The following is an 11,085-nucleotide window of genomic DNA, read 5'->3' as shown; positions in this document are numbered from 1 at the left end:
CTCCATCTCTACAAGAAATACAAAAATTTGCTGGGCATGGTGACCATGCCTGTATTCCCAGCTACTTGGGAGGCTGATGTGGGAAGATCACCTGAGTGCAGAGAGGTCAAGGCTGCAGTGAGACAAAATTGCACCACTGCACTCCAGCTTGGGCAATAGTGTAGGACCCTATCTCAAAAAAAAAAAAAAAAAAAAAAGACGAACCCAAAACAAACAAACAAAACACGTCCCCCCGCCCCCCCACCAAAACCCATTATTATAAAACTGGCTTTGTTTTAGGCCATTTTGCCCAACTGTAGGCTAATGTAAGTGTTCTGAGCTCACTTAAGATGGACTACGCTAAACTATGAAACTCAATAGGTTAAGTACTAAATGCATTTTCAGCTTATGATATTTTTCAATATATCATGGCCTTATCTGTCCAGATAAGACATAACCTCATTGTAGGTTGAGGAACATCTGTATTTTGAGCTTCTGTTTTATGCCTGGCTCTGGGATGGATGCTGTAGACAGAAGAAACAAATGAGATATAGTCCTGTTCTCAAAGCACTCACAGTCTAGGGAGGGAGACAGGCATGGGAACAGACGGCCAGACAAATTTCCTAGCCCGTAGGGTAGAGGTGAGAAGAAGATGCTATGGGAATTCAGAAGAGGTAACTTATTGAAGGTGCGGACTGTGGAGGGAAGTCATTAATTCCTTCAATATCTGTTGAGACCCTAAAATGTTTAAATGTGCTAGTGAATCTGCGGTGTTAAAATAGACATGGCTGTTCCTTAGGATCAAGTTCAGAATAAATTATTAGATCTCTGTTTTCTCTCCCTGCCTTTTCTCAGTCAGATGTATAGACGTACACACACAGCCACACTCAGAGACATACATACACTCACCACACATTCACAGATGCATGCACAGTAGTTAAGGGGTCTGTATGCTTTTTAATGTATAAAGGTGTGTGTATGTGCACGCGCATGCATGTCTGCAGTCAAGACGGTCTTTCAGGATCAGGGGCAGGGCTGTCGCAGCTGATGGAGGACCAAGCAGTAATTAAGAGGAGATGGAGATCAAGAGCTCTGTTTATCCAGGAAGTGCAGCCACTCTGGAGAACCTAATGTGGTTTAGAAAGCGTGAAGCTTGGGGGCAAGGATGAACGGGGCAGAGACTCAGGGAAGTACAGGAGCCTGTGGGCTGAGGGCTAGGGAGGCATCCTCTACGTGATGGGGGAACTGCTATGAGCACTAAGGGTGGCAGGAGTGTGGTTGGATCCCATCCTTGAGTTGAAACCCTCACATGGCAGCAGCTCGTCTGCCTCTACTCTGTGCTGGACTTCATTGACTTGCCTCCTCTAGTGTAGAATTTTGCTTCAGACATCTCCTTTTTGTATTTATTATTTATTTATTTATTTTTGAGCAGGGTCTCTCTCTGTCAGCCAGGCTGGAATGCAGTGGCACGATCACAGCTCACTGTAGCCTCTACCTCCCAGGCTCAAGCTATTCCCCCTGCCTCAGCCTCTCGCGTACCTGGGACTACAGGTGCCCACCACCGTGCTTGGCTAATTATTTTATTTCTGTAGAGACGGGGTCTCCCTATATTGCCCAGGCTGGTCTTGAACTCCTGAGCTCCAGTGATCCTCCCACCTCGGCCTCCCAAAATGTTGCGATTACAGGTGTGAGCCACTGCCACCAGCCAGACATCTCCTTTTCGATACTGTAGTCTGAAAAGCTGGGTCTTGGTTGAAGAAATTGTAAATAGAGTTTAAAAAAGGGAGGGGCTTTCCTGGGGGTGGGTGAGAACTGGATTGGGATTGAGCTGGGGACGGTGTACTGGTGGGCATACCCTTGACCTCGGCAGTATCTGCAGCACAAGCTGTCCAGAAAGATGGCCTGTGACCTGCTTGCCTTGGAATGTCTGGAGGGTTGGGAACTGAGAGAGAGGGGAGTTGGGGGATGCGTAACGAGGTGCTTGGCCAGCCCTTCCTTTTCCTTCCCCTCCTACCGCCGCTCTCTCCTCTCCCTCCTTAAGGCATCCAATGCTTCTTTCCTAGTCTGAGCCTGGGATCTTGCTCCTCCTGCCTAAACTGCCGCATGGAACAGAATGTCAGCGAACAGAAAGCCCTGGGGCTTCTAGACTTGAGCTGGAAATTAGAAGACCATTGATTTCAACATGGAAACAGAAGAACAAAGAAGTAAACAGAAAACAAGAAAGAGAAAATCAAAGGGGAAAAAAACCAGAAAAAAATAGTGGGGAAAACAGTGCCTAATATGTGGGGAGGCCATAGCCGTTGATGTTGATTAGCAAATCAAGAGAAAATATGAAGCAGATTGTTTCATAAGTTGTTTTGGTGATATGAAAGTGATTCCAATTATAGCAATTTATAAAAATCAGTGTCTATATTTGCATATTGCTTTGGTGCAGTCTGAGGGTGTGGTTTGCAAAGCTCATTTTAAAGTGGGAAAACTGAGGCTCAGATGCTGCATGATAAGCTGGGTTCATTCTGCTAGAAGTGGAAAGTTGGCCTTGGACAATCAAGGGTACAGCAGCCTATAGCTTATGTCCAGGAGTTATCTGTGCTAAAGAGAATGAGATTCCCCTGGGAGGGAGCCATGCAGATTTGGAGAAATGGAATCTTCCAGAAAGAAAATGACCTGAAAATGGACTGGGGAAGCTCTGGCACCCTAGGATCTTGGGCAAGAGTCTTTTTTTTGAGGCGGAGTCTTGTTCTGTTGCCCAGGCTGGAGTGCAGTGGCGTGATCTCGGCTTACTGCAAGCTCCGCCTCCCGGGTTCACGCCATTCTCCTGCCTCAGCCCCCGAGTAGCTGGGACTGCAGGCACCTGCCACCACGCCCAGCTAATTTTTTTGTATTTTTAGTAGAGATGGGGTTTCACTGTGTTAGCCAGGATGATCTCGATCTCCTGACCTCGTGATCCGCCTGCCTTGGCCTCCCAAAGTGCTGGGATTACAGGCGTGAGGCTGCAAAACTCTCTTATCTCCCATTTCCCCAGTGGCAAAACAGGTCACCAGGCATAGAGAGATGGGAGGCTGCCTGAGAGAGAGGGAGGAGAGCTTATGGAAATTGGCTTTTTCCTCCTCTTCTTCCTGCTCAGGTACACAGCTAATCCTGAGACAACAACATTTTTAAATTCCTCTTCTCTCGCTGTGCAAACAATTTTCTGCTTCCAAATGTAACTCTGGTTAAAAACTACAGACATGCAGGTGCAATTGTAGACAGGTTTGTGGTGAAAGTCAAGTTCATACATATTTGCCTATTAAGACAGGACCCTTAAATCTCCAAGCTGGGGGGAAAGGAAGTTAAGTCTTAGAATGCACATGTACAAACTTCCCTGTATAACTGAGATTTTCTGTAGCTCTGGTTTTTATTTATGGATTTCTGCAGTTCACTTTGACGGGGAGGGATTATTTTTCTCTCTGCCGACTCCAGCTGATTGATTCAATGCGCCTGCTCACTTTCAGATATGGCCGCAGAAGCTGCGGCATAACTTTGTGTCTGTATTTAAAATTGGGAATACAAAATGGGTTTAAACTTGAATATTTCATCGAGACACTACGTTTTATAAGTAATTTATTTTGGAAATCCAGGCGTCTGCCTGGGCTGTGTAGATTTTGAGCGACTTGGGATGCTCAGAGTTACTTCTGAATATTAATATCATTTGGGCCGTACACACTCTGAGATTTCATATAACCTTATCACTGCTAGATACTTAAATAGCCATGAAGGGGATAAAGCAAACACTTTCCTCAACATTTATATCAGGATATTGGCTTTCCATATGATGACTTTAACTAATATAATCTCAGGCAAGACAAACAGCAACATTTACAGTGAAAGACAACTCTGTTAATCACAAAAGATGTTGGATGCAAGACTTAATCATTTTTAGGACCATGGAAGTTATGTGTGCAAAGTAAATGTAGATTTTTCTTTTCTCGCCAGCTCACACAATAAATATTTCCTCAATTTCTTGAAGATGGAAGCTTCAGAAGTCTGGTTTAGCAAAGACTTAGCCATGGCCAATTCCATTTCTCATGAGTACATCCTGTTTAGAGGGGGAAGCTCATCAAGTTCTGAAAAAAAAAAAAGAAAAAGGGCTGGGTGCTGTGGCTCATGGCTGTAATCTCAGCACTTTGGGAGGCTGAGGCGGGTGGATCACCTGAGGTTAGGAGTTTGCGACCAGCCTGACCAACATGGTCCACCATCTCTATAAAGAATACAAAAATTAGCTGGGAATGATGGCAGATGCCTATAATCCCAGCTACTTAGGAGGCTGAAGTGGGAGACTTGCTTGAACCCAGGAGGCACAGGTTGCAGTGAGCCGAGGTCACACCATCGCACTCCAGCCTGGGCAACACGGTGAGACTCTGTCTCAAAAAATAAAAATAAAAATAAACATAAACAAAAGCATGAGAATTGGTGGATTGGAGTAAGGGAACTGGTTCAGATTGGATCTCTGACATTCTGGGATCACTTCCTTTCCCTGAGGATCAACTTGCCCTTCTATAACCTTTGAACCCTTCATAATTGTCAACTTCTGGAAGATGACTTTCATTTTAAATGAGAGAGAGGGAGCCTGGCATGAGGGTGGGGTAGGGGTGATGACAACGGATATTGTATAGGTTGAGTTGTGTCCCCAATAAAGATACCTTAAAATCCTAACCCCTGGTACCTGTGAAGGTGCTCTCGTTTGAAATTAGGGTCTTTACAGATATAATCAAGAGGAATCATACTGAATTAAAGGAGATCCTAATTTAATCTGATCGGTGCCCTCATAAAAAGAGGAGAGACAGAGACAGAGACACAAAAAGAAGGCAGTTCAGAGACTGAAGTGATGTGGCCACAAGCCAAGGAATGGCTGAAGCTACCAGAGCTTGAGGAGGCCAGGAAGGATCCTCCCCTAGAAGCTTGAAGGGAGCATATCCCTGCCAACACCTTCACATCTGACTTTTAGCCTTCAGAACTGTGAGAGTAAGTTTCTGTTGTTTTAAGCTACCTTGTTACCACACTTTGGCAGGTGCTGTAGATATGAGTGGCATCATGGCTAGAACTCTGAAGAGAGATCAATCTGGGTTCCAGCTCTTGGGCCCTCCCAGGTTATGTGACCACCAGATAAGTTACTTCATTTCTTTTAGCTTCTGTAAAGTGGGGATGATGTAAGTATTTGCCTCATAGGATTATGTATAGGTTAAATAAATGATGTGTGTAAAGTGTTTAGCATAGATAAATCACTGTGGGCATGTGTGTGTTTGTGATTTTGTCAGCACTGGTCATCTTGTTTACCGATGTTAAGAGTTACAACCCTGGTGGCAAATGCACTGTAGGAGACCAGTACATACTGGTCTGAGTCAATACAAATTATTTCCATTCTATTTAAACAAGGTATTCATCTTTCAATTCTCTAAAGTACCTGTATCTGTACCAGAAGTCCAATGTAGAGGAAGGAACACAGAATTGAAAGTCTGAAACCTTAGGTTCAAGCCCAATTTCTACTGCTTTAGTAACTGTGTCACCCTGAGAAAGTGGCTTGATGTCTCTGATCCTCATTGGCCTCTGTCAAATGACATTGATAATTAAGACCTCACAGGCTTGTAGCATAAATCAATGAGACAATGGTCATGAAAGGTTTATTAAATTGTAACTTCCCAGAAGTTGTCAGTTGTTCTTGTTACTGGAGCTTAGCATAATGTCCGGTGCAGAGTTTTCTGCATAGATGAGACTCAATCCAACCGATATTTATTAAACCGAATTGTGTTGGTCTGAGTACCCCTGCATCTAATCACAATGTTTTTTATAGGTGTGTGATTTTCCTGACTCTCCCTCTTTGTTCTGATGGGAACATATGCATATCAGTGGACCGATGATACAGGTTTTCCCTAGACACGAAGTGACTATGTGAATGCAGACACACATTCCTGGTGAGAGGCCCTGAGAAGAACAGAGTTCCTTGAGCACCTTGGATGCTTGAAAAGGGAGGTGGGATTTCCAGACCTTTTCACTGGATCACGTTCTGGATTAGCCTGGGAGGGAATATGGCGGCACCGTGGCTGGGGCAGAGAGTGGTGGAACGGAAATCCCAAGGCTCGTGTGAGCTGCGGAAGGCCGCCGGCCAGAACCTTCTCAGAGCAGAAAGCATTTCCTGTGCTTCTCTGGCCGTCTTCCCTGCCTGCCTCCTCCCAGGCTGCCCCACTAAGGCCCAGGATTGAGGCCATTTAGCTTCTGTAAATACCAGGTTTCATCATCTTAACCTCCAAGAGATTATGCTTTTTGAGTAAAACAACTGAAGCAGAAATCTTGAAAACTTTAATTACGATGGGCTCGCACTGCTTGCTTTGTTCAAGACCAGATCCTCAAGGCAGGGAATTTCTGTGGCAATGTGAAGGGTGTGGGTGGCAGCTGGTGCTTCTTTTGTCTGCTCCTGAGCTCTCCCTGTCTACACTGGCCACAGCAAGCCCAAGGGCTCCATGGCAGTGGGGAGCAGCCACCCTGTCTGGCTGTGCTCTGGGAGTTGTTTAGGGGAGAATTGAAGGCTAACAAAAAGGCAGCATTCTGACACAGGTGGGGCTCAGAAGCTGGCCGGCATCCTACCCACACCCTGGAATTACCCAAACTGACAGGTGACAACTGCACACAGTATCTGTCATATCTCCCCAGTAGAAACTGACCTAGGTTTTGCCATACAAATGCTGTCTCACAAAAAAGGAATCTTTTATGTGAGGATCCAAAAAATAAACTTAGAGCTGGACGATTATCTCCCAGGAAACATTCTTTTCTCCCATCCAGCAATTCCACAAGACAACCCTGGCCTGGGCTGCCATGGACTCTGCCCAAGGTTCAACTGTGGCAGCCATTTTAAACAAGAGCCTCAATGGATTTCTCTTTTTCCTCACTCCAGATGACCTCTAATTATTCTTTTAAAGCACAATTTTAACAATTTCTTTGCACGTGCATCTAACCATAAGCTGTTGCACATAGATTTAGAAGTAAGCAAGATAAAAATCTCAGAAAGCCAGGTTCCTAGAAGCTCTTGAAAAGATCTTTGCACTTTATCCTTGTGCTTTTGCACACGCTTGACTCTAGAATCTACGTTGCCACACACAGACTCGCTGGCACGGACTGATATTTGATAAGTGCCTTCAACCTGGGGTCTTAGTATCTGTGCTGATGCCCATAGCCTGACCCTTGGCTGACTATGGATTCTAGTTCTCTAGCCTCGCCTCTGTTCAATTGCATTCTTATCAGCTCTATCCCTGGGTTCTACCCAGAAATGCCTTCCCTGGCCACATCCACATCTGCCTTGTCTGCTAGGCTTGGCCACACCCTGGGCAGGGACTTCATGAGTCCCGGGTTCTGGATCTATAAAATGGGGTTAATCACACCTCCCTGCCACCCCGTTGTTTCTCTGGGAGGATCACACCGAGCATGAGGAGTCCTGTGAGTTACTCCTCAAATGTGACCACCTCCTTCCTTCTGATGTTCCTTTTTCTGGAGTTCTCTTTCCTTGGATCTGTGCATGACTTCCCTCTTCACATCATCTGGGTGCCTGCTTACCCTCATTGGCCCCCCTGTCCCTAATATCCAAAACTACACCCCTACCCTATTATCTTAAGGCACTTCCTCATTCTCCATGACTCTGATCTCTACCTGGAATTACAATACTTATTGATTTGTGTTCTGGTTTAGTGTCCGTCTCCCTCATCAGAATGCAAGTGCTAAGCAGACAAAGCCCCTCACTGTCCAATCTTCACTGCATCTCAGCATCTCCTGGTCACTGCCTGCAACAGAGACGATGCTCTATAAACACTTGCTGAATGCATAACTAAGTGAACAAATGACCACAGTGACCATGGTGATCCCTGTCAATGTTGGCCATCATGCATACCACTTACAGGGGTGGGGTCCAAAGCCATCACGGAAAGTGAAGGTTGAACAAGGCAATGACATCTTGAAATCCCTTTGGAGGCCACCATATTGAGGCTGATAAGTCATCTCTCACCCTGTCCCTTCTAGTTTTCTCCAGTGGTAGAACATTCTATTGTTTCTTTGGTAGAAGATCAGAGGCAGAACTAGGCCATGGTTTTGGATCCACATTGCTTGAGACATGCCCATCGATAAGCACCAGAATCACATCCTCCTTGGTAAGATGGTCACATGTGTTGGAACTGGGACCCATTTAGTAAAAGAAGCCACAATGCCCAAGTCATGCACACCTTGGGACACATTCTCTTCGAGTGAAATCATAGACAAACCCTCCCAAGCTATTTGATCTAACTATCAACACTGTGATCATTTTCTCCTGCCCCTGAAGCCACATGTTGATAGTAACTTTACACATGATGCTATACCCCTGTGCTTATTCTTAACATTTTACCTGCCCCTGAAGCCACATGTTGATAGTAACTTTACACATGATGCTATACCCCTGTGCTTATTCTTAACACTTTACCTGCCCCATGCCCTTAGTTTTGGCTCAATCTGGTGAAGATGCTCTTGGAAGATGGCCCTAGTTCCTCCAATGACTCACTTCTGTGCCTCAGTGCCCCTCCCCTCCAAGACTGGGGCATCCCTTCCTAGCAAGTGAGCCTCGTGCGTGGTGACATTCTAGCCTAGGTTTTGCTACCCAACAACAAGTCATCCATCATCACTGACTTATTTAGAGCTATTTTTCTGTATTTTTTTCCTTCTTCAAATTGCGACCTCTGCTGAAAAGACCCCCAGGCACAGAGACAATAACATCATTCATTAAAATATTTAAATCAGCTGCAGCAGCAGTAATGACCAAGATGAAACCTTAAAGCACAAATTACCTGTAACAGAGGCACCTATTTTGCCAAAGGGGCTTGGAACGGTCTGGATTTCGGGTTCTGGCGATGACTAAACTCTTGTCAATAGAAAGGATCTCAGATTAGCATGAGGTCCTAGGTTTGCAATCTGGGCTCATGATCCTTAAATGTTTCCCAAAGATCACTAATCCTGAGGTCTAATAAGAGCTTTGCTTTTAGTGCCAGAAATACAATTCTCATAATACGATAAGAACTGTTACTTAAGATAAAACTGATTTTCACTCAGTTATCTGAAAAAAGCATCACAAATAATAGTTGTTTTAAATGTTTTTATCAAAAGATTAAATTTTGCTGTACCTCCTGAAAGCAAGTAATTGCCAGTTGATACAATCTGGGATTAGAACAAAGACCCTGGTAAGTTAAGTTTGAGAAATAAATCTAATTTGAAAGATAGAAATAGCAAGCATTTTTTGGAAGTTAAATGAGCAAAATATTTAGTGAAGGCTAAAGATTGGGAGGCGGTGTTGTGAAAAGGTTAAGAGCAAAGTCTCTGGGGAAGAGAGGCCTGCTTGTGTCCTGTGTGCACCATCATAGGACGAGCTGTGTTCATGACCTTTGGCAGGTGGCTTAATGGCTCTGAGTCTTGGCATCATCCTCTACAACATGAGGCATTGCATTTACCCAGCCCGACTCTCCTCCAGCTTCCGAGTGGGGCTGACTATTGGGAGACACTGCCAGAAGGTCAGAGGGTAGGGGAAGGAAAAGCCTGTGTGCTTTCCCTGCTCTCCAATGTCATGTCCCTCTGTGTTTCCAGCTCCTACTGGGAAGTGTCTCCTGTGGCTCTAGCTCCCACCAGATGGCCTCTGCTCCTGGGTTCTGATAACACCATCTCCTTTCTTGGTGGTATTGGCTTCCAGCTGTTACTAATTCCTATATTCTCTCACTATTCTCTTATTTGACTCCTCAGAAATTCCGTGGCCCTGTGTAACCAATTCCCGATATCTGACTCCCTCCAATTGAAGCACCTGGACTAATTTCTATCTTCCTATCTGGGTACTTCCTCCTAACCTCCCTTTCTCTTCTTATTTCCTTCTCTTCTTTTCTTCCTCCCTTCTGTTTATTTTTCTTCGTTTCTTCTCATTATTTAAATTGGTTATGGATCCTAATCAATATGTTGACCTTTCTTTTACTTGTATTTCAAGACCTGGGTGAAATCTTATTTCCTAAATGAGGCTTTTCTTTTTGTCACCTTCAGCAGAAATAATAGTTTCTTCCTCTTTACTGCCATGTCTTCTATTAAACCTCTTTCATAACAAACTATAAAGATCTAATTTATTTAGTTTTTTTTCCTTTCTTTTTATCTGACTTCTTTACTAGACTGTTTCTTATTCATGTTTGTGTCCTTAGTTTCTGTCATGGAACAGAAATTAGCTTACGTTATTGAGTTAATTGAACTAATATTCCCCAAATGATAACAGCAGGTGTTGCATTGTGCACTGAGGATGCAAAGGTGTCTCTAGACTCAACACAAGCACTGAGTCCCTCCAGATTCTCAATTACCAACACCTGGGTGACTCTGTTTCAGGCCTCACTTTGCCCCCCACCCCCGACTCCACCAGCTAGACCTCCACCTGCGGATTTGGATTTTCTTTGTTTTCTTGGTGGAAGAGGATCAGGAATAAGAAAGGCTCCATCCTACATCCGATGTGGCTGCCCGTGGACTTACAATTTGAATTGCCTCTTTCTGGGCTTAGCTCCTGATCCCCACATCTATCAAATAAGGCATTTGAGCTGAAGCAGGACCCTTTAACTGGAGTGCAAGGACTCTTAGGATGTTCCTGGAGGGCTTCTAGTAGCCTGTGCACATTGGGAATTATGGAAAACTTGTTGGATGTGTAAGCATATACTTATTTTCCTAGGAGGAAGGTCCACAGCTCTTCAAACAGCCCATTTCAGCCCTGCTATTTTGTGAGTCCAAGAGTCCTTGACCTTAGCTGTGCAGGCCATGGGTGGCCAAGAGTGGCTGTGGAGGTGGGGGCAGCTCGACCGCAGGAATACCTGTCTCTTTCAGAGGAATTCTTCATTTGGTTCTGATGGAACCAAAGGAAGCACTTCAGGATGTTATATTTTTTCCCCATCACCCCATTTTTAAAAAGCACTGTATAATTCATAAACTATCTGCCTAAATAAACGTTTATCTGAACACTGGGCAAGAAGCCTGCAGTATCTCCATGGAAAACGAATTATTTTCTAACCTTTGATGAATTAGTATTTATGGGACTCAAACAAGCCA

At 44.6% G+C, this 11,085-nt stretch overlaps 2 annotated features.

Moving 5' to 3' along the window:
* Positions 2,310 to 2,810: an enhancer, noted in NCBI's record as "H3K4me1 hESC enhancer chr14:99206799-99207299 (GRCh37/hg19 assembly coordinates)". NCBI's record gives its function as "activates a minimal SCP1, AML or CMV promoter by ChIP-STARR-seq in primed H9 embryonic stem cells {active_cell/tissue: H9 hESC(primed)}" and the evidence as "EXISTENCE:reporter gene assay evidence [ECO:0000049][PMID:30033119]".
* Positions 5,605 to 6,104: an enhancer, noted in NCBI's record as "H3K4me1 hESC enhancer chr14:99203505-99204004 (GRCh37/hg19 assembly coordinates)". NCBI's record gives its function as "activates a minimal SCP1, AML or CMV promoter by ChIP-STARR-seq in naive H9 embryonic stem cells {active_cell/tissue: H9 hESC(naive)}" and the evidence as "EXISTENCE:reporter gene assay evidence [ECO:0000049][PMID:30033119]".

Source organism: Homo sapiens, chromosome 14 (genome assembly GCF_000001405.40).
Source record: "Homo sapiens chromosome 14, GRCh38.p14 Primary Assembly".
Classification (NCBI taxonomy): domain Eukaryota; kingdom Metazoa; phylum Chordata; class Mammalia; order Primates; family Hominidae; genus Homo; species Homo sapiens.
Note: the sequence above shows the minus strand (reverse complement) of the source record. Positions and strands in the feature narration are given on the sequence as shown.